The sequence below is a fragment of the Homo sapiens genome, chromosome 22 (genome assembly GCF_000001405.40).
Source record: "Homo sapiens chromosome 22, GRCh38.p14 Primary Assembly".
Lineage (NCBI taxonomy): Eukaryota > Metazoa > Chordata > Mammalia > Primates > Hominidae > Homo > Homo sapiens.
In genome coordinates, this window is record NC_000022.11 from 21,472,503 (window position 1) to 21,495,156 (window position 22,654).

Below are 22,654 nucleotides of genomic sequence, written 5' to 3' on the forward strand. Positions count from 1 at the left end.
TTCACTATTCTGATCACTGATTTTCTCTTCTTACCTGCTGCTGTTTAGCTGATCTTTTGGAGTTTCTCTTTTGTTTCAGGTCTTTATTCCTATCTGCTTCAGATGCAGGGCCTCGGTGGGTGGGAGTAGATGCTTGCTGGGTCTAGTCACACAAAGATTTTGGAGTTCCAGAGCACAGCACTTGAAAACAAGCAAGAGGGAAAGACTAGAGCAGTGGGAAGATGCTGCGGAGAGCCACAGACAGGCCCCCACGGCAGCCCTGAGGGAGACAGTTTTGGAGCGGGCAGACAGCAGTCAGGACAAACACAATGTGTGTTTTGGTGCACCTATGCCGTGGTGAGATTATGGGAATCTCATGTTTGTTAAGCCACAACCCGTGCTCCTGGGCCCCAGCCTATGAGTGCAGCCAACACTGGGCCCCCCTCTCTAGGGGCAAATCCAGGAACTGCCCTTTGGCTGAAGGTGGACTTAGGACTTGACACAAAACCTCACAGATTCCAACACAGCACTATTTTGGGTTTTTATTTTGTTGATGTTGGTTAAATCTTATCTCTTTTTTTATACACAATACTTCATGTACCTATGAAATAAAACAGGTAGGGAATATGTCCAGTGCAAACAGAGGACTCACACCTGTGCATAGACAGCACCATCCACTGATTGTCGCTGCAGTCCACGGCGTTACTAAGCCTGCGCCACCCACGTGCTGCCCCAGGAGGCGCTACCAGGCTCTTCGGGCCACAGGCCTCTCCTCCACTGCATGTGGCGGCAGGGCGGGTAGGTCGCAGGGCTCCATGATTGTGGGGCAGCTTCAAGGGCACATGGGGCAGAGGCCCTCGAAGGTCCCCTCCTCAGTAGGGGATGTCATTCTGATAGTACTGGATCATGTTGTAGGTCCGGCTCCTGAAAGGCCAAGAAGAGTGAAGGGAGATTCGAGGAGCCAGCAGGGTCTGGGGTCCCTCCCCACAGGGAGCCCTACCTGTCCAATCAGCCCCTTATGGCTGCCCAGCACCTGAAGGTACAAATGTCCCAGGCGTGCCCTCCCCCACCCAGTGACCACATCTGCTCCAACCCGGGGGACTCTGAGGCCACCTCATGCTCCTCAGCCAAACCGCTTCCATCCGTGGGAGCCACTGCTCTGCCCCATGGGCCTCGGGCCCCTTGGCTCGTCCTGGCCAGATGCCTCCAAGGGGTCTGTACGCTCTCCTCGCACCTCTGGAGAGCCCCTTCTCGCCCTGCCCCAGCCCCTCTTGAGGTCCTGGCCGCCTGGCTTCTCTGCTTCCTATCAGCAAGAGCTCCTTCCGTGCCCAGCCTCCACAGTGCCCTTGTTAGGGTGCCGGACCCGGGCGCCACCTGGGGGCAGGTCTCAGCTTCCTCTCACGCTCCTCCGGCAGTTCCCCATGCAGATGGCCACACCTGGGCCCCTCCTCCTAGTCTGGATGTGGTCTGTCCCATGGCACAGCCTTGGGTTCCCACATGCCCCTCAGGGCCTTACCAACCCCACATGTTTAAGTGCTGCCCCCTTCGGGGATGGCTCACTTGCTGGGATCGCCATCCTCCCTTTGTTCAGGCCGGACCCCTCAAAGCCACCTCTGACTCCCACAGCAGGGAGCCTGTCAGCCCGGTGCTCTGCCTTCAGACCCTGAGCCAGCCCTCCCCAGGGCCCCCTGCACCCATCTCCTCCCACCACAGTAGTGACCAGCAGCCCGGCCTGCACCTCCAGTCACTGCCCACGAAGCAGCCCGAGGCAGGCGCAGGGAAGGAGTGGGCTCTGACTCCTCAGCCCTCCTGGGAGGAGGGAGGCCTGACACCACACTCAGTTCTAATACTCCTGGCCTTGTGTCCCTATTGCTCCTTCGGCCTCACGAGCCCTGCCCAGGTGGGCCCGGCCTCTGCCAAGTGTTCCCCTCGGCACACCACAGCCCCCTAAACCAGCACCCCACTGCTCCTCAAGAGTTCCTGTCAAGACTTGGGTCTTCATGAGAGGGGCGGCTTGGGGACAGCAGAATCCTCATCGCCTGGTGCAGGCAAGGCCCTGCAGGTGCCCAGTGGCCACCGAGGCAGTGGGAGAAGGCAGGGGGGCGGGGCACTCACCTGTTGCTGAGGAAGCAGCTCTGGATGACCTTCATGATGAAATTTGCAGCCTCGCGCTCAGTCATGTTGGGGCTAAACCTGTGCCTGGAGGAGAGGCTGTGTCAGGGCTGCCATGGGCAGGGCCGTGCTGGCTCCCTGGCCCAGTGGGAGGAGGGTCTTCCATGGGGACGGACTTCAGCTGAGAGCCATGCCCTGGAAATGTACCTTTGGGGTCCACATGTTGGAAGATGGGGTGCTGTGAAGGCCACGCCTGGCCTATCATGGGCCCTGTCCCCTTCCCAGCATCACCTGAGTGGTCCCATGGTATTAGGGGACTAAGCATTGGGGAGCTAAGCTACTGCAGCCCCAGACCTTAGGGTGGAGGTGGGTTGGGCGTAGCATCCTTGACATAAATAGAGGCCCCTGGGTGGGTCTCTGGTGTGGCCGGCACAAGCAGGGGCCCCTCACAGTTGTGGTCTAGGGGTAGAGCCTCACCTAGGAACCCTGTCTGCTCTGAGGTTCCAAGGAGATGACAACCACAGTGACAATTACACGAAAGATACCTATCTTGGATGGAGCCTCAGCTAATGGACAACTGTCCCCCAGATGGCCTGCGTGTCCACCAAGGAACCTACTTCAAGAGCTTGATTGTCTGGCCGCGAAAACAGGGCAGGCCCGTGTCCAACATGATAGTGACCAGGGAGACGACCACATCCATGTAGGGCCTGGGGAGAGACAGGAGGGAGCGGTGGGCTGAGGCCAGCCTAGGTGGTGGCCCTGCCTGTAGTCCTGTGGACTGGCTGATGCCAACAGCCTCAGGTGTGGGCTCCTGCCACCCACCTCGCCTGCCACATCTTGCACATCCCCGAGGCAACTTTCGATCTGCTGCACTCGGTCACCCGTACTGCCCAGGCAAGGGCTGCCCATACGCACTCTGGACAGGCTGAGTGTCCTGCCCTGTCCCCCACATAAGGCTGCCGGCCATGGCTTCTGCACCTGGGTGGGATGCAGACACGCTGACCTGCCTTTCTCTGCGGGGCAGTGGGGATGAACCCAGGTTGGACTGTGGCCTTGGCCAAGTGACCTGTATATGAAACTGGGACAAAGCCCATCTTTGGCACGTAGCCTGTGGGGTGGCAGGTGCTCAGGCTTTGGTGACAAGGTGGATGGGATGCCCAGAAAGGGAGAGCCCATGGCTGAAGGCGTGGGCAGGATTGTGGGGAAGGTGGTTGGAATTAGATGCCCAGAGCAAGAATTTATTGGCACAGGTGGGCAGACAGAGGTGACCAAAGGACAGGTGTAGGTCAGCAGGTGGCTGCTAGCACCTACCTCACTCTCTGGAACCCGATTCCCTTCATCCTAAAGGGGATCTCAGAACGTTCCACACACCCCCTCCGCCTCCACCCTGGCCCTCACCCAGGCTCACCGCACAGCCAGGTAGCCTGGACACACATCTCCATGAACCACTTGAAGGGTGTGGCCTCCATCTTGCCCCCCATGATCATCACCATCTCATCCGTCAGCTTGATGTCGGGTTCCCAGCCGAGATTGCCGCCCGGCGAGCTTTCAAACATGAAGCCAAAGTCTGCAAAACCCCAAAGAGCTGCCTGTGACTGGGTAGGAGCCAGGGCGGGCAAGGACGAGTGGTCTGTTTTGAGGAGTGGAAAAGGACTCTTCAACAGGAGCACCCCCTCCACCCCCAAAAGGCAGGTTGTGTTTTCTTGGAGACAGTGATGGGGTGGGTGGTGGGGCAGCAGGCAGAGAAAGAGAAGGGAGGAAGTGGAGGAAGGAGCCAAGCTGGGGCACTGAACCTGGACCAGCCCCACTCCGCCCAGCTCCAGCTTCTGACTCAGAGCAATGGCGGCTCTCGCCCCAGCTCCCTGGGGCCGGGGCCAGGCACCCTCTACAGCAGAACAGCTTGGTGGCCGACAGTTCGGACCTCAGAGCTGGACCCTGACACTCCTGGCAGGGTGGTCCTGGGCATTCTCCTCTCTGTGGGGTGGGGATCCCTATCCACCCCTGGGTGCCGGGGTGAAGGGAGAGGAGGGTGGCGCTGTGGCTGGCTGACCGATGTGGATGATATGGCCCTTCTTGTCCAGCATAATGTTGCCGTTGTGTCTGTCCTTGATCTGCAGCAGGAACAGCAGGAGGCTGTAGGCGGCCATGCTTCGGATGAAGTTGTAGCGGGCCTGTGCAGAGAGCGCCCTGGGCTCAAAAAGGCCCTGGGGCCTGTGGGCATTCTCCCTGGTCCCACACCCAGGATCCCTGGGCCTGTGGGCACTCTCCCTGGCTCTGTGCCCCCACTATGGAGGCAGAGCCCGAATCAGCAAGTCAGTCTTCGGCAGCAGGAGTGACGGGCTGTCTGGATGTGGGGGTGCAGGCACTTCCTCCCACACTCAGAACTTAACTTTCTTCTAAGGAGTCCAGCCCAGCTCTACATTCTTTTGACTCCCAAAGTGGCTTACAGATGCCCTGGTGTTTTTTTTTTTAAATGGAGTCTCGCTCTGTCGCCAGGCTGGAGTGCAGTGGCACGATCTTGGCTCACTGCAACCTCTGCCTCCTGGGTTCAAGAGATTCTCCTGCCTCAGCCTCCCGAGTAGCTGGGACTACAGGTGCCCACCACCATGCCCAGTTAATTTTTTTACTTTTAGTAGAGATGGGGTTTCACCATGTTGGTCAGGATGGTCTCGATCTCTTGACCTCATGATCTGCCCGCCTTGGCCTCCCAAAGTGCTGGCATTACAGGCGTGAGCACTGCGCCCGGCCAGGTGCCCTGGTTTTTTTTTTTTTTTTTTTTTTTTTTTCAGATGGAGTCTCACTCTGTTGCCCAGGCTGGAGTGCAGTGGTGCAATCTCGGCTCACAGCAACCTCTGCCTCCTGGGTTCAAGCGATTCTCCTGCCTCAGCTTCCTGAGTAGCTGGGACTGCAGGCGCGTGCCACTATGCCCAGCTAATTTTTGTATTTTTAGTAGAGACAGGGTTCACCATTTTGGCCAGGATGGTTTTGATCTCTTGACCTCGTGATCTGCCCGCCTCGGCCTCCCAAAGTGCTAGGATTACAGGCGTGAGCCACCGTGCCCAGCCCAGGTGCCCTGGTTTTAACCCTTAACAAAGGATGACTGAGGAGAGCAGGGTGTGGGTAGAGGCTGGGTATGGGTGGCTGGGGTAGGGTGGAGCGCACACGACTTTCCCCGGCCTGTGGCCACCCTGGCTACCTGCTGGAAGGCCAGAGTGGACTCATCCCCGTACTGGCGTGTGAAGTAGTCGTACATGCCGAAGTCTGTCTGGCGGCCCAGCTGGTCCCGGGAGGTGCAGTCGGGGATGCACTCGATCACCCCGCACTAGGAGGAAAGGCCAGTTCTGAGGCCCGCCGGGTGCGAGGTGCCCAGGGCTGCCCTACTGGCTCCACTCAGGGAACTTACCCCAGGGGCAGTGGCCACCACGCGGTAGGGAAAAACAAAGAGGTCCAGGCCGACCAGCTGGAAGATGTTCTTGAAGAGGTCGATGATCTGCAGGGCCAGCATGTCCTGGGAAGCCGGGAGGCGCAGGATGCGGTCAGTTGGCATCCTTGCACCCCAGTAGCTCTTCTGGCTCATGCAGGGCAAAAGCCGAGCACCCAGAGATGGAGTGAGGTGGGGAGACCACAGCCGAGCAAGAGTCTGGAAGGCCTTCCTTTCTGACCACCGGGGGCTGGACTCAGGCTGCTGGGACCACCAGGCCCTGGGCTGAGCATGAGGCTGAGCTGTCTGGTGGGGTGTGTGAGATAAGGCACCCAACCCCTGGACAGTTCCCTCAGGTGGGCACTGGCATGGCAGGGACAGTGGGAAAGGGGCTGGAAGGAGAGGCCTCTGGGTTTTGCAGAAGCCCTAATTTACCCCGTGGCACCTGAACCATGTAAGAGAAGGAAAAGATTCACATTTCTGCATATGAGATTGGACTCTGGTGGGCCTGGAGCCTTGGGGAGCAGCAAGCCCAGTCCCCAAGCCTACTTGAGGCCTGACCCTGCTTACCTGCCGGCAGTCGTCTCCCAGTTTGAAGATGGCTGCCTGCCAGGAGATCTTCTGGCCGTCGGCCTCCTGCGTGCTGCACTCATCCTCAGAGTCTGAGCGGCACCGCAGACCTGCCCGCAGGGAGAGAGGCCACTGTTAGCCTGTAGGCAGTGAGAAGCCCTCTGAGGGGGCCAGGGATGAGTCCTCTCACATGCCTGAAAGGAACCCCAGCAATCTTGGGGATCACTTCTTCAAAACCCCAAGGAGGCCAAGGAGGAGCCCAGCAGGGCCCAAGGAAAGCCTTGGAACAGCAGGTGGAATCCAGGGTTGGAGTCTAAGAACATTTAGGCTTAAATGGAACTAAAAACAGAGCCCCATTTCATCTGCAGTGAAGACCCAGGTGTGCCTGAGTCAGTGTTGGGTGCTGTGAGCTGGGGGGCAGGAGGAATGTGTCTGTACACTGGGGTCCTGGGAGGGCTCGGGGCCAGTGTGCAGACATGGCCATGGGAGGCAGGTCCCTGCAAGGGGTGGCAGCCCCCTCTCCACAGCTGGCCACACCGTCTGTACTGGGTTGAAGAGTGTCTCCCTAAAATTCATGTTCACCCCAAACCTTAGAATGTGTCCTTATTTGGAAACAGGGTCTTTGCAGATGTAATTAGGTTAAGACAAGGTCACAGTGGATTAGGACAGTCCCTAATCCAATGACTGATGTCCTTCAAGGGAGATCATCATGTGAAGAGGGAGGCGGAGATGGGAGTGGAGCATCTGCAGGCCAAGGTGAGCCCAGGACTGCTGGCAACACCACCAGAAGCTGAGGAGGCAAGGTGTGACCTGCCCAGAGCCTTCAGAGGGGGCACGACCCTGATGATGGACTCCAGCCTCCAGAACTGAGATCGTCCGTACGGTAGCCCTGGGAAACTAACACCCCCCAACAGCCCCGGGCCCCTCAGCCTCAGGAAGGAGCCTGCTGGAGCATGCCAGCTGACTCACGGCAGACAGACCTCTGGGGTGGCACATCTGTCAGTGCATTTGAGCTCCCTGCCATCCCCTAGTGAGGGGTCTGACTGAGGGCAGACAGATGGACAGACATCATCTTTTATGGAGAGCTGTACTAAATTTAACACATGCCAGAAGAAACTGGCATTAGCAAGGAAAAGCACTGAGCTCCCAAACAAAATCAGGGTTCTTTACTGACCTTCTTTTTCAAGTTCACTAACTCCACATCGCTTCACCTTGAACTTGGCCAGATATGGGGCTTTTGCAGCACTGAAAACAACAAAAAGAATGTGGCACCCATGATGCAGCCGAGAAAAACTTCACACGCGGACGCTGTGGAAGCGGGGGATGGGTAGGGTGAGGCGCTCACCTCTGCATCGGGGTCCCAGACTTGTAGTCGACGTCCAGCACAATGGCTTCGGGGTTGCTGGGCAGGGAGCAGCCTGTGCAGGGACAGAGGCAGTCACAGGGAGTGCATGTGTCACCACAGGTGAGCCAGAGTCAGTTTCCAACACGGATGTTACGTGCGTGTCCACCCTGCAGGCACACCCCACCCCTGTGGAGGGGCCTCTGGTCCTTGTCCAGGGCACCACTAACTTATTATTCTGTGGCCGCTAAGGGTCCGTCCTCCTTGACTCTTCGACTCTTCCAGCCATCGACCAAATGAGTCTGCACCTTCTGGGAAATGCTCTTCCTAGAGGAGCACTGAGCCCCATCCTCACGGATACAGCCCTACTGCTTCTGGGGGTGTGTGTGAGGCCTGTCCTGCCTCCACCTGCCTGAGCAACCCTCTGAACAGCCCTCCATTCTTGGAGTCCCTGTTTTTTTTTTTTTTTTTTTTTTTTTGGATAGAGTCTCACTCTATCACCCAGGCTGGAGTGCAGTGGTGCGATCTTGGCTCACTGCAACCTCCGCCTCCCAGGTTCAAGCAATTCTTCTGCCTCAGCCTCCTGAGTAGCTGGGATTATAGGTGCCTGCCACCATGCCTGGCTAATTTTTATATTTTTAGTAGAGATGGAGTTTCGCCATGTTGGCCAGGCTGGTCTCAAACTCCTGACCTCAAGCGATCCACCCGTCTTGGTCTCCCAAGTGCTGGGATTACAGGTGTGAGCCACCACGCCCGGCCTTCCTTACCCATTTGAACACTACTCTCTCAAAAGCCTTACTTAAATGTCACTATGTCCATGAACTGTCCTTGGTTCTCCCAGCCTTTAGGACTTTTGTCTAACACGTTTCTTTTTTTCTTTTTCTTTTTGAGACGGAGTCCTACTCTGTCGCCCAGGCTGGAGTGCAGTGGCTCGGTCTCAGCTCACTGCAACCTACGCCTCCCAGGTTCAAGCGATTCTCCTGCCTCAGCCTCCCGAGTAGCTGGAATTACAGGCGCCCGCCACCGCGCCTGGCTAATTTGTGTACTTTTAGTTGAGATGGGGTTTCACCAAGTTGGCCAGGCTGGTCTGGAACTCCTTACCTCAGGTGATCCACCCGCCTTGGCCTCCCAAAGTGCTGGGATTAAGGCATGAGCCACCGTGCCAGGCCAACATTGTTTCTTTATGCTTATTTTATATCTCTGTGAGTTCAAGCTTCTTCAGCTCAGGGACCATGTCTTACTCATCTTTTTAACAGCCACAATACCCAATGTCATGCCTTTTCTTTTCTTGTTTTTGCTTTTTTGAGACAGAGTCTCACTCTGTCACCCAGGCTGGAGTTCAGTGGTGCAATCTCGGCTCACTGCAACCTCCACCTCCTGGGTTCAAGTGATTCTTGTTCTCAGCCTCCCAAGTAGCTGGGATTACAGGCACGCGTCACCATGCCTGGTTAATTTTTTTTTTTGAGACCGAGTGTCGCACTGTCATCCAGGCTGGAGCGCAGTGGCGCAATCTTGGCTCACTGCAAGCTCTGCCTCCCGGGTTCACGCCATTCTCCTGCCTCAGCCTCTCGAGTAGCTGGGACTACAGGCGCCCGCCACCACACCTGGCTGATTTTTTGTATTTTTGGTAGAGACGGGGCTTCACCGTGTTAGCCAGGATGGTCTTGATCTCCTGACCTCAGGTGATCCACCTGCCTTGACCTCCCAAAGTGCTGGGATTACAGGCATGAGCCACCGCGCCCGGCCCAGGCTCCCCTTTCTCAGTGAGTGCTCAGTAAATGTGTGAAATAAGAGGACAAGGGAAAGCCTGTTTCTGGCCAAGGAACTGCCAGTCCCCAAGGGGGATGTGTGCTCCTTGAGCCCTGAGAGGTGGGCTTTGAGGGGAGCCAAGCTTGGCCTTGCTGTGGGGTACAGGGAGAGGGGGGCATGCCATCTCCTCCTCTTCCTCACCTGCCCTTCTGCCTGCTCCAGGCTGTGGCTCACACTCAGGCCCCTCTGTGCTCTCCTGCTAGAGCCCTGCTGGCTTCCCTGACCTCTGGGGCAAGACTCAGCCAACACAATCTAGAGCCAGGGGCTGGGGACTTCTGTGCATGCCCCCTGCAGTACAATGCTTCCAGCTCTTTTTGCCCCTCCCCAGCAGTTGTGGCCTTCCCGATGCGGGAACAAAGGCCCTGCATACATGTCCTGCCCTCTCTGGGAAGCCGTGCTGTTGTATGAGCTCAACACAACGTGTTGGGAAGAAATGGTTAAACCGGGGTCCTGCAGGGCACTCAAGGACCAGCCGCTGTGAACATCTGCACGGGACAGACAGAGTTTGGAAGACAAGTTTGTGCCAATAGTTAGAAATGCAGAGAGAGGCCGGGCACAGTGGCTCATGCCTGTAATCCTAGCACTTTGGGAGGCCGAGGCGAGAGGATCACAAGGTCAGGAGATTGAGGCCATCCTGGCTAACACGGTGAAACCCTGACTCTACTAAAAATACAAAAAAATTAGCCGGGTGTGGTGGCGGGCGCCTGTAGTCCCAGCTACTCGGGAGGCTGAGGCGACAGAGCAAGACTCCATCGCAAAAAAAAAAAAAAGAAATGGAGAGAGAGCTGCCCAGTGAAGTCTGGATTTCCATCTTCTCTTGAAAAGCTCGGCTTGAATTCCCATGTGGCCACAGCCACAGGCACCCAGGAGCGACTTCCCATGGAGGCGGTGAGGGGGTGGTGCTGATGGGTCCCAGCACACCTGAGCCCTCCCACACTGGGCCCGCCATCCCCTCGTCTGTGTGACCTGCTCCTGTAATGCTGGAGCCTAGGAACCCTCTTCTAGAGTAACAGCTACTGAGGTCAGTGTGAGCCTCCAGAAAAACAGCAGGCAGCAAGGAAGATGAAGGGCACCCACTGACGAGCAGCTCCCGCTCACTAGCGGCAGATTTTGGGGAGGGGCTGGGGTCCTGGGGCACCAGGCACCGTGGGCCCAAGCAGGTGTGGGGCTGGCCAAGCCACTGTGTCCACATCCTGTAGTGCCTGGAGAGGGCAGCAGCCTTCACGCCCCGCCGCCCGCCTGCAGGAAGAGGTTGGTCTGAGCCTCCAGAAGCCACCTGCTCACCTGGCTGCACCGTCACTTCAGACAGGGCCGACAGACAAGCCTTCTTTCTCTCGTCGCCTTTAGGGTAGGGCCTGAGAAACAGGAAAGAAATTCTTGCTTTGTCTCCTGGAGGAACTGGCTGCTGGGGGACAGCCCAGGGCCCCTCCTGCCTGGATTGCCCTCTCTGTCCCTCTCTTCCCGGCTCTAGCTGCTCCTAGCGCAGCCAGGCACCACTGGCAGCGATTCTTGCCCTGCATTCCTCATGGAGAAACCCCGACAGCCCCGGAAGGGCTGTTTTCTGGCAGGCTCTGCCCCTGCTGTGGGCGGGGGTGTGTGGCTGGGGGTGGTGGGGGTAATAATGCCTGCCACCTGCTGCCACCCAGGAAACGCTAGCTCCCGTCCTTCATCTCTTGGGTTAGAAGCTGCCAGCACTGCTATTCTCAGCACCCAGCCCAGAAAAGGGCCTCAAAGTGACCAAGGTCAGAGCAGTGTAAGCAATGGAGACAGCCCAGCCAGCGTGCCCAGCATTGATGACTCCAGGGTTTCATCCCTTATGAATGCACAAAGCCACCAACATCCAAGGATGGTGTCAGGTCCACATGAATGGAAGGTCTAGGAAAACGATGACAGGAGCTGCAAAGGCAGTCTGGTTTTCCTGACACCAAGAGGATCGATCCTTCAGAGTGTGGAGAGGGCAGGGTGACCTCAAATTGTGGAGCCATGTGCTAAATTCCACAAATCTCAGGAATGAAACTAAGCTGTGTTTCCTGAAACTGGCGTGGCCGTGCATTCTGCCATACCTTCAAGAGCCCTGACTCACCCCAAGCAGTGCTTCCCCACCCACCCTGGCTGTCCATCAGAACCACCAGCAGCCCCGCTGCTAGAGACTCTCATTCATCTGGTTGGGGCCACGCACGGGTATTTTTAAAGCTTCCCAGGCAATTCTGTTAAGCTGCAGGGACTGGAACAAGATTCCAGAAGGTGGTTTCCGAAGCACTGCACTTACTTGATGACAGCCGACACGTTGGTGATCTTGTTAAAGAAATCAAACCCCCGCTGGTAAAAGTCCTTCGCTGGGCCCGACAAGGAGCCTGTGTTCTCCTCTACTAACTGCTCCAGGAGGTCGCCGATGTCAGCTGCCAAGGAAACAAAGAGGCTGAGTCTCTGTGGCTGTGGCAGAGGCCCCTCAGGAATACCAGCCCTGTTTCCCAGGCCCCAGACTGGCGGTGCCCAGAGTATGCTCTGCAGGCTTGGTGAGACCATAACAGCTGCCGTGTGCCCCTTTTGCTGTGTTGACACAGCCGACACTGCTGGGAAGCTAAGCTGGTGCCTAAGCGGAGCTCAAGGTAGGGGCCAAGCGCACAAGTGGACGTGGAATCCTCACTGCTGCACACGCTACACACGCAGGAAGAAAAAAGCCCGTGTCATTTATGAATGTCACAGGGCATAGAATCCTCACTGCTGCACACGCAGGGAGAAAAGAGCCCGTGTCATTTATGAATGTCACAGGTGAAGCAATGAAAACTAATTCTTATTAAACTCTACCCTGAATACATGTCTTTTTTTTTTTTTTAATAGAGGCACACAGTGGGCGGGGCTCTATATTAAATAGTGCCTCTCACTATTCAAATCCCAGGCTGAATTTAAATTCCTGGGCTCAAGAGATCCTCCTGTCTCAGTCACCTGAGTTGCTGGGACTACAGCTAGTAGGTGGGACTACAGGTGCGCATCACCACATCTGGCTTTTAAAGTATCCTTTGTGATGAAACGGGATGTGCACGAAGCACTCTTGCCGCATCTAAGGCAGGCGCTGTCCTAAGAAGCACCTGGAGCTTGTCTGATTTTGGAGCCTGGACTAACCTTTTTCACAGACCTTTGTTTTTACTTGAAGAAATGACTGACAGACAACATATAGCTATTCAGACTTAGGGATGTGGCAGATGTTTTCCTGAAAATGAACAAAAAATAAATCTTCCACTCAAAGGAACTGAAACATTTTTTTGGAAAACTTGGATCTGCTGCTGTGAGCTCAATAGCTTCCCTTAAAAACTCTTTCTGGGCCGGGCGCGGTGGCTCATGCCTGTAATCTCAGCACTTCAGGAGGCTGAGGCGGGCGGATCAGAAGGTCTCAGCCAGGCAATGTGGCCCACACCTGTAATCCCAGCACTTTAGGAGGCCGAGGCGGGCGGATCAGAAGGTCTCAGCCAGGCAATGTGGCCCACACCTGTAATCCCAGCACTTTAGGAGGCTGAGGCGGGCGGATCAGAAGGTCAGGAGTTTGAGACCAGCCTGGCCAACATGGTGAAGCCCCGTCTCTACTAAAAAATAAAAAAATTGGCCGGGCACGGTGGCTCATGCCTGTAATCCTGGCAATTTGGGAGGCTGAGGTGGGCGGATCACGAGGTCAGGAGATTGAGACCATCCTGGCTAACACAGTGAAACCCCATCTCTACTAAAAATACAAAAAATTAGCCGGGTGTGGTAGCGAGCGCCTGTAGTCTCAGCTACTCGGGAGGCTGAAGCAGGAGAATGGTGTGAACCCGGGAGGCGGAGCTTGCAGTGAGCGGAGACTGCACCACTGCATTCCAGCCTGGGCGACAGAGCGAGACTCCGTCTCAAAAAAAAAAAAATTTAAAAAAAAGTCCGGGTGCGGTGGCTCACGCCTGTAATACCAGCACTTTGGGAGGCCAAGGCGGGCGGATCACGAGGTCAGGAGGTCGAGACCATCCTGGCTAACACGGTGAAACCCCGTCTCTACTAAAAAAATACAAAAAATTAGGCGGGCGTGGTGGCGGGCGCCTGTAGTCCCAGCTACTTGGGAGGCTGAGGCAGGAGAATGGCATGTACCCGGGAGGCAGAGCTTGCAGTGAGCCGAGATTGTGCCACTGCACTCCAGCCTGGGCGACAGATCAAGACTCTGTCTCAAAAAAAAAAAAATTAAATTAAAAAATAAATAAATAAATAAAATAAAAAAATTAGCCAGGCATGGTGGCGAGCACCTGTAATTCCAGCTACTCAGGAGGCTGAGGCAGGAGAATTGCTTGAACCCAGGAGGCAGAGGTTGCAGTGAGCCAAGATTGCGCTACTGCACTCCAGCCTGGGCGACAGAGTGAGACTGTCTCTCAAAAAAAAAAAGAAAGCCCTCTCTCGTCTCTCAGTCTGTGCTTAGTAATCAGCTAGGCGCTGAGAGAACAGGGCATGGCCTCCTTACAGAGGTTTGCTGCTTCTTTGCGTGGCATGTTTTCATTTGGCATTCCCTTCCCTGGAATGCTTTGCCCTGTCCGCCCTGCATGCCGGTGCAGCCTTTCAGACTCAGCTCAACTGTCTCTTTTCCAGAAAACCATCTCTGATTCCCCAACTCTGGATGGGCCAAGTGTCTGTACCGGAGGAGTGCTCCCACAGTTCCCTCAAATTGAAATCACCTGTCCATTTGACTGCCTCCTACAAGACAACAACAGACCATACCCCAGTCATGTAGGTGTGCACCAGCCTCAGCCCAATCCTGGGCCGTCAGCTGCTCAGAGGGGTGTGTGAACGCAGCTGGTGCCAGTGCAGGGAAAGTGCGGTGAGTGGAGTCTGCTCAGCTGCCTCGGGTGCGTGTTTATGCTTCTCAGCTCAGGCCAGAGGAGAAGCAGAGCCAGGCATGCACCGGCCTCCAATGACCGTGCAACACAGTCAAGGCCAGGGCTCAGGGGGGTCTAACTGCTTTTCCGTCCCTACCTCTGGCACCCTCAGGGCTGCCCACGTTGCACCCCTGTCCTGCCTGCCTCCACCATGAGCAGCTGCACTGTTGAGGGTTACCTGGGGGAACAAGCTGGCTGGCGGTCAGGTACTTCTTATCTGAGAACATGGCGGTCCAAAATTTAATCATGATGCTTATGTCTTCACGCAGCCGCTTCTCTCCTTGAGTAGGAAACTTTGGGGGACAGCTTCAAACAACCATAAGAGGACAACGGCTGAGTGTCTGGAGTCAGGGACTAGAGGCCAGTCACACAAAGCAGTGAGAAGGTGATGCAGACAATTTCTTAATGACAAAAGGTCAGCCCAAAGCCAGTCATTAGCAAGGATGATCTGGCCCATTCCCATGGGAAGGTGTGGTGGCTCGGGAGCCCTCTTATGCCCTCCTCCCTCACTGCCCACAGCAGCCCCTACAGCTTTCCACTGAAGCTGCACTTGTGGCAGATCAGGGCAAGGAAGCTGCACTCACACAACAGCACAGCCTATGGGTGCAGAGCCCCAGGCAGTGGGTGTTTGCAATTCTTCGTGCAATAAGCCTTCACATTAACAGGGAAATTAAATGGACGCACTTAATCTCCTAAATCAGTTGAACTGAGGGAAAATTTGCCTACATCTCGCTGGGAGGCTAGCTCTAAGTACACGGGACACATGCACAGGGCTGAAAGGTATTTAAATCCACAGGGCCAGGGATACTGAAGGAGGAGGTTGGTGAGCACAACTGGGCAACTGTGTATTCCTGTGAGTGACTTCCTGGGGGTCTGGGGCGATGGAGCACTTGGAGGGGCTGGGCCGTCCCTGGATGCTGCACAGCACATCTTGGGGGAGTACCTGAAGTAGTCAAAGGCAGTGGAGTAGATCTTCTCGCGAAGCACATTGCGGATGGTTGCATTTGGAACCACATCGGCATGCAGGAGGGACAGCCCCAGGGTCAGCAGCCTGTGAGGGAGCCCCGGACCCGGTCAGAGCAGGAGCCTGGCCTGGGGCCAAGTTCACCTTATGGACTCTCTTCCCTGCCCTTCCAGGAGCAGCTCACTGAAATGTGTTCCCCGTCTACAGAAGTACCGTGATACACAGACGCCCCATGACACACTGTACACACCAGGGGCCCTGTGCTCCCCAGGAAGAGGGCCCTCACTTGAAGCGGGGCCCGATGGCCGCCACGTGCCGGTTCATGCTCCCCTTGGCCCTGCCGATGTTCAGGGACATGGAGCGCTGCAGCAGGCTGGAGAAGATCTCCACTTGGTCAGAGCTGCAGTACTTGGCGATCTCAAACCGCTGCACCAGGAACTGAGCGAAAAGAGGAAGACGCTGTGGTGGTGGGGCTGAGCCGGGCTAACCCTGGGGCCGGCAGAGACAGCTGAGGAGGGGTTCTGGGCTGACTGGCCGAGCTTGCCGAAGGCCTTGGGCTCGGCTACCCCCACCCCAGGAACAGTCCTGGCCCCCCAGGTGGAGCACCCCACAGCCTTCGTGGGGGAACAGGCACGTACGTCGATCCAGATGTAGTGGGGGGTCACTTCGGGGGGACAGGGTTTGGGTTGACTTGCTTCCGAGGCAGCCAGGGGGTCTGCTTCCTTTATCTCAGCAGAAAACAGGCCAAATTTCTGCTCCACTGTCATGTGCCAGCCCCTGCCATCTCCCGCATGAACTACAGGTACAGAAGGAATGTTAGCTCCTCTGTGAAACACAAAAAGGGGCTACTGTCAAGTTTTCTCTAATTAAAAAAAGGAACACGTGCTCACTGAATAAGATTTAGAAACCAAGAAAAGTATGAAGAAAAAATTGAAGATCGCCTATAGTCCCACATCCCAGGGTCATCTGTGTCAGTGCTTGGTGTATTTTCTCCAGCCTCTCGAGGCTGCATTCTGTTCAACCCGGTTCACCGTGTGGACATTGCAGGTGTGAGGTGGCAGCACCCGGGATGTACCTGATGCCCTGACAGGCACTGGGTAGGTGACTCTTCTCTATAACCCTGATAACCCTCTGTGGCTGTGAGCGGGAAGACCCCTCTGTGGGCTGCTGAGCTGGCAAGGGCAGAAGAGGGTTCTGGATCCAGGGCCTGGCTCCTCCTCTCCACCCCACACAGACCCTACCCGATACCTTCATCCCGCTAACCAGATTAGGAAGGCCCATGGAGCCGAGGCGAGCCTGCAGCCACCATGGCCAGGCCTGGGAGCCCAGGGTCAGGCTGCTCCCATGGCCCAGTCATGCTCAGCCAGGTCCCCATTCCGTGGGGGGGCATGAGGGGTGCCCAGAGGGAGCAGCATGGTGCCCGGGAGACACCTGGGTGCTGCAGAGAGTAAGAGGTGCAGCTCACACATGGAAAGCCCCCATGATTTCTGGGTGTTTTTACAAGGAGACCAACAAACAGCATTTGGCATCTGGCCAAAGAGGATTCTATCCCTCTGTTGTCCCAGCAGCACCAGCTTCTACAAGGGCTCCAAGCGCCTGTGCAGAGGTGGCAACGAGGCCTAATGAGTAGAACACACACCGCGGCTCCCTCCCCAGTACCATCCCCTCCCTTCTTCCTCATGAGGTGGATCAGGGTGGCCACGTGGCCAGTCACAGGGCTCTCAGCCAGGGTCCCTGCTGGCTGAGGCAGCCACTGTTCTCCCCGGCCACTCTAATGAGCCAGGGAGAGTGAACTGGGCAAGGCCCTGGGAACACATGCCAGGGTGAGCTTCATAAGGTCAAGGCAGCTGGCCTCTGCCCTTTGCACTCTGTCCTTGTCTTCCTTCCTGCTGGGAGGCACAGAAGCCATCTGGAGGCTGTGAGGGTGGAGACAAAGGCCACATAAGCCCAGGATGGCCAGGAGCCGACGGGAGCCCGGGGCGGGGCTCTGTCTGCTGCTTCCCTCTAATCTGCCCATGGGGTGAGGACTCCTGGGGGACGAGGCACTACAGCCTGCTTTCTGTTTCCTGCAGACTGATTAGTCTTATGGAAGCAGACAAGGGAGCAAAAAAATGGCGGTGGGGGGGACCCCAGAACTGCCACGGACAAGAAGCCATCGAAGAAACACACTCCCATCTATTTGTTAAACAACCACATCCTGGTGGCTGCCTCTGTGCCAGGGCCTCGTGGACTCTGGGCATGGTGCTCTGAATGAAGACAAACATGACCACACAGTCTATGGTGGGGACCACAGACAACAAGAAATAAGCTACACACACTGAGAAACACTAAGAAACAGCAGTGCGAGTGAGCGTGTGGCCAGGTGGCCAGGGAGAGCCCTGGCAAGGAGGGGACATCTGAGATGAGCCCTGGAGGAGACGCAGGAGTGAGGCGCAAGGCATGGCCATCTGAGAAGAGGGAATGCATGACGCAGCCTATGGTGGGAGCAGCCCAGGAGGGCAGCTTCAAAAGTGAAACTGATGGGATGTGCTGAGAATCATCCGTGGGAAGTGCAAGCAGGACCCCAGCATGGCCACAGCACAGCAAGCGAGGGGAAGAGAGAGGATGGAAGTCAGGTGGGAAGGGGGCTTGCAGGTCACAGAAACAAGCCCACCTTCGAGTCTGTAGGGGGGCTCTGATTCCCCCCTGGCTTGCGCCAACCGCATGTGGAGAAGGGGAAGATGCCTGGGGTTGGGGAGCAGGAGGCCAGGCCAGGGGGCAGCAGCTGGGATGCTGGGACTTGTCAGATCCTGGATAAACCTCAAAGGTGAAGGTGATGGGATGTGCTGAGAGTCATCAGTGGGATGTGCATAAGAGGGAGTCAAAGATGTCTGAGCAGAGAGAAGGACCTCGCTGGCATCTACAGTGAAGGGAGGGACCTCGCTGGCATCTATAGTGAAGGGAAGGGTCACGCTGGCATCTACAGTAAAGGGAGGGACCTAGCTGGCATCTAGTGACGGGAGGGACCTCGCTCACATCTACAGTAAAGGGAGGGGCCACACTGGCATCTACAGTAAAGGGAGGGGCCCCACTGGCATCAACAGTGAAGGGAAGAACCACCCTGGCATCAACAGTGATGGCGGATGGGCGACCAGCGCAGCGGTGTCTGGAGCTGAGGTTGGACCCATTAGTTGGGGCTGCTAATCAGTTCACCATGCAGGCCATGGGCCAAGCCACTGAAGGGATCCACCTGGACTAGGAGTGACTGGGCTGGGTAAGCAGTGGAGCTGGCCAGAGTAGCCAGGCAGGGAGGAGGAGCCCTGGGGCATGCCAGTACTGAGAAGGCCCTGAGCTCAAGAAGGTCCCTTTATTCTGGAGGATGAAAGGGCTACAAAAATTACAAAGGCCTTAAGTCCCTGGGAAAAGCAGTTAGGCTCCCAAAACAGCTGCTTTCAAGACCCAGAACTCTGAAGGAGGCTGTGAGCAGCTTTCCCTGAGCTGATCTGTCTTCCTACCATCTGGGACCTGCTAGTGATATCTGTACTCCAACTGCCCTGCCCCCAGGGGTCAACCAACCCACTCCTATCTGAGGACCCACTCCTATCTGAGGACCAGACAGAGAGGCCAGAGGTTCAAGGGCACCTGAACTAAGGAAGTGGAGAGGAGAGAGACAGATCTGGGCTCCAGAGCCCCAGGTACAATGTGAGGGCTGACACGTGGTCAGGAGCACCCCCAGTGCCCTGTGAAATGGGAACAGCTACAGCCCCTACTCTTTTTCTTTTTTTTTTGAGACGGAGTTTCGCTCTTGTTGCCCAGGCTGGAGTGCAATGGTGCGATCTTGGCTCACCGCAACCTCCGCCTCCTGGGTTCAAGCGATTCTCCTGCCTCAGCCTCCTAAGTAGCTGGGATTACAGGCACATGCCACCACACCCGGCTAATTTTGTATATTTAGTAGAGACAGGGTTTCTCCATATTGGTCAGGCTGGTCTCGATCTCCCGACCTCAGGTGACCCACCCGCCTCTGCCTCCCAAAGTGCTGGGATTACAGGCGTGAGCCACTGCGCCTGGCTGAGCAGCCCCTACTCTTAAGGCCCACCGAGGTCTGAGGCTGAAGCAGCATATGGAAAGGAATCCTGACCATAGCAGCACTGTGTCCTGACAGTCACAATTTGTGGTGAAACCAGGGCTTTCTGGTGACCCCAGAAAACATCAGTGCCGGCTCTGCCAGCACCCAGACACCTGGTACCCTGAGACTGGCAAGGGGACTGGAAGAGGGCAGTGGCCTCCAGGCTCCCTCCACACTGCCCAGTGCTGTGTGCACACAAAGGACCACGGGTCAGACAGATAGAGGCCGAGCTGTGGGGCTGTGTGCCACCCAGAAACTCCGGGGAAAGGGGCCAGTGGCGGTCCCCCCTCCCCTGCGCCTCACCAGAGTGCCAAGGGCCCAGACACCATGTGAGCAGCAGCCAGCGGGGCGGGGGGGCCTCCTGAGCGCGTGGCCTTCCTGGGGGTGCATCAATGCCTGGTCACCTGGGGAAGAGAAGACGAACACAGTCACCCAGACAGCCATCAGCGAAGAAGGGAGGGAAGGGCGATGAAGGGACGCACCTGGGGGTCTCTGGCTGGGGCACCAGGGGCAGCCCAGCAGGAGACTGTGGCCACAGAGCCTGGTAGTTGGATCTGACAGCCAGGAAGAGTAAGGACCAGCGAACAGGTCTAGGGAGTTCGGTGGGTGCAATGCCTGCCCCTCTAACACACACAGGAGATTAAGGACACCCAGGGGCCACCTAGGCCAGGGGGCGCTGGTGGCAGACACACAATTCTTGGCCTGCGGGTGTGGTAGCAGGAGGCCTGGGCAGGGCCCTTCCCAAGCTGGCCACATTTACATAACAAAAGGTCAAAATTGGAGCCACTTGTGCAAGGGCTATTTATAAGAACCAGTCTCAACCGCTTTTGGCTCCCCCGTTCCTTCCCTTCCTGATCTGCTCTCACCGCCTCCCTGCCCAGAGGGCCCAGCCCCCTAGCCCGCTTGGCCTGACCACATGGCCTTCCCTCTCCAGAGGTTTCACTGCCTAAGGGCTCACCCAAGCTGCAGGCCTGGGCTTTCAATACCGGCCCACCAAAGCCTTGGGCAGCTGCCGCCAGGAAACGAGGGGTTCCCTCCCACCCCCAGAGCTCTGGGTCCTGCAGGAGGGGGGATCCTGAGGTGGTGGGTCCTTGCACCCCACACCTGCCAGCCTGGGCCCCCACGGAATAGAGCCGGGGTCGGGGAAGGGGCGTGCAGCGGCCCGTCCCCGTTTCCCCTTCCCCCACTCCACCCCCAGGGCCAGGGAGGCTCAGCAGGTCCCTCAGGAATGTGACCAGACCCGGGGTGCCGGCCCAGAGCTGGGAGGCCTAGGCTGCAGCTGGCCAGCTGTCTCTCCAGCCCCTAGTGCAGCTCCCCTCTGGGTGGGGGGTGTGAGGGGAGGGGGTGCATGGCTGGTCCAGGACCCCACCAAAGGCCCAGAGGGCAGCAGAATCAGCTCTGTTGGTAGGAAGCCCAAGGGCGTCCACAGTTAGCAAGGGTTGGGCCCAGTGGGCTAATGCTGGGATGAGGCCAGTAGGGCAGGGGCCACTGAAACACTGGCGGGAGCAGTCGAAAAACTGGGTAGAGGGTCTCGGTGGCACACTGGAGGCAATCAGATACCACCATCCAGCCCTGTGCCACTTCATCTGCTCCCCAACCACTGCCCCTCAGGACCCAGTCAACCATGGGTAGAGCGCATGCCAAACTCTGCAGCCAGGGGTCACCTGACCTTGCCAGAGGCCAGGCCAGCTACTGGATGCCGCGCAGGGAGTGGGTGGCAGAATAGGACTGGGGGGCACCTGAGTGCCATGGGGGTGGGAACACCCTCCGTCAGTGCCCACTGCCTGGCCCTGTCGGGCACTTTACAAGCCCAAGGCTAGCACTAGGTCTCCCCACCAAGGAAGGATGGCCCCAGGCTGGGTCAGCTGTGATGTAGAACAGGGCAGGGCTCCTCCCTGAACCCTCCACTTGAGTTAGGGGGTGTCAGAGCCACCTGCAGAAAGTTCACAGCAAGCACAATGCCACCATGCGTGCCATCCACACCAGCTGGGCCAAGTCTGGGCCACATCTAGGCCGCCACTGTGTCTGCGAGCAGCAATGCAGCCTCACCCCATGGCGGGGCAGGGGGGTGGCACACGCCATCCTGCTGCGAAACGCCTACTAAGCACTGCTCCTTCCTTCTCAGCCACAGAGCTCTGCCCTACCCGCTCACCGCTGGACATGAAACAGCAAGTGCCTATCCTGGAGGGCTCCGCCTGGGGAGTGCCAGGTAACTAGAAACACGGCTCTGGGTGCTGGCCCGGATGCTGGTGCTCAGCCCTGGAAGCAGCTGACTGCAGGCTGCGATGAGAATGCCACCTAGCACCCAGCAGCCCCTGGCAGCAGGCCCGGGCAGCACGCCTATCAGCCCCGAGGCTAGCACGCCCAGCCCTGGCCTACTGCCCATCCAGAAACGCTGGCTCCCAGGACGCCCAGGATCTGAGGCAGTAGGGCAGCAGGCCTGGGCTATCGGGGCCAGCTGGGCATTCGCCTAAGGCTGTGACCCATCCCCTCCCTAGGACAGAGCCTTCAGGGGTCCAGGGGAGAGGCAAGAAGGGTAGCACAGAAACTATCTCCCAAGTTAGGATCCCTCAGCTCCAGGATTCCCCCTGTAGGTGGACTGGCCCCAGCTGGGAAGGACAAGAGCCCCAGCAGCTGGAGGGAGGGCCAGCTCTCTCTGCGGAATCCTGAAGGTCTGCAGGAAGGAACACAAAGCCTCGGGGTTACCTTCCCAGGCCATCTGTTAGAGCAGACACACGGCCCTGTTTACGGAACAGCCAACATGCCAACTGCTCTCCTTTCCTTCCCCTCCCAGTCCCCGCCACAAAAAAGCCAGAAAGCCATGTCCCCAGACACTGAGGGCAGGCCCAGGGCCCAGGCAGGTGCTAGCGGGCTGGAACAGCACTCAGATACTCCAGCCTCTCAAGCCACTGGTGGCACATGCCCAAGCTCTGTAGAACTGGGCCAGCCACAGCAGCCCCACCCCCGCTCTGTTCGCCCTCAAAGAACTTACAGTAAGGCAGCTGCTCTGCAAGGCCCAGTCAGAGCCTACCCGGCCCAGCAAGTCCATTCTGTGGCAAGAAAAACCTTGGGGACACACATACCCAACTGCTAAGTAAGATTATCTCTGGGGAGCGGGATTACAGAAAAACCATAGTATCTGTATATTATGTTCATTTCTGTAATACTCAACATTTTAAAAAGTATTACCTTTTTTTTTTTTTTGATGGAATCTCATTCTGTCCCCCAGGCTGGAGTGCCATGGCGATCTGGGCTCACTGCAAACTCTGCCTCCCAGGTTCATGCCATTCTCCTGCCTCAGTCTCCCGAGTAGCTGGGACTACAGCCGCCTGCCACCACGCCCGGCTAATTTTTTGTATTTTTAGTAGAGACGGGGTTTCACCGTGTTAGCCAGGATGGTCTCGACCTCCTGACCTTGTGATCCGCCTGCCTCAGCCTCCCAAAGTGCTGGGATTACAGGTGTGAG

General features: G+C 57.1%; 1 pseudogene across 1 annotated transcript in view, besides 4 other annotated features; it reads right to left on the reverse strand.

The window, feature by feature from the left end:
• Positions 1-495: 495 nt before the first annotated feature.
• PI4KAP2 (phosphatidylinositol 4-kinase alpha pseudogene 2) overlaps positions 496-22,654 on the reverse strand; it is a 44,494-nt pseudogene continuing 22,335 nt past the window's right edge. The window contains 16 exon segments of the transcript NR_003700.1: positions 496-903; positions 2,095-2,178; positions 3,500-3,658; positions 4,142-4,262; positions 5,288-5,413; positions 5,495-5,599; positions 6,083-6,192; positions 7,257-7,327; positions 7,428-7,500; positions 10,518-10,588; positions 11,503-11,632; positions 14,298-14,425; positions 15,063-15,170; positions 15,370-15,521; positions 15,722-15,879; positions 19,492-19,592. The product of NR_003700.1 is annotated as a phosphatidylinositol 4-kinase alpha pseudogene 2 (transcript).
• Positions 17,312-18,117: an enhancer, noted in NCBI's record as "H3K4me1 hESC enhancer chr22:21844103-21844908 (GRCh37/hg19 assembly coordinates)". NCBI's record gives its function as "activates a minimal SCP1, AML or CMV promoter by ChIP-STARR-seq in primed H9 embryonic stem cells {active_cell/tissue: H9 hESC(primed)}" and the evidence as "EXISTENCE:reporter gene assay evidence [ECO:0000049][PMID:30033119]".
• Positions 18,997-19,904: an enhancer, noted in NCBI's record as "NANOG-H3K27ac-H3K4me1 hESC enhancer chr22:21845788-21846695 (GRCh37/hg19 assembly coordinates)". NCBI's record gives its function as "activates a minimal SCP1, AML or CMV promoter by ChIP-STARR-seq in primed H9 embryonic stem cells {active_cell/tissue: H9 hESC(primed)}" and the evidence as "EXISTENCE:reporter gene assay evidence [ECO:0000049][PMID:30033119]".
• Positions 19,905-20,811: an enhancer, noted in NCBI's record as "NANOG-H3K27ac-H3K4me1 hESC enhancer chr22:21846696-21847602 (GRCh37/hg19 assembly coordinates)". NCBI's record gives its function as "activates a minimal SCP1, AML or CMV promoter by ChIP-STARR-seq in primed H9 embryonic stem cells {active_cell/tissue: H9 hESC(primed)}" and the evidence as "EXISTENCE:reporter gene assay evidence [ECO:0000049][PMID:30033119]".
• Positions 20,812-21,718: an enhancer, noted in NCBI's record as "H3K27ac-H3K4me1 hESC enhancer chr22:21847603-21848509 (GRCh37/hg19 assembly coordinates)". NCBI's record gives its function as "activates a minimal SCP1, AML or CMV promoter by ChIP-STARR-seq in naive H9 embryonic stem cells {active_cell/tissue: H9 hESC(naive)}" and the evidence as "EXISTENCE:reporter gene assay evidence [ECO:0000049][PMID:30033119]".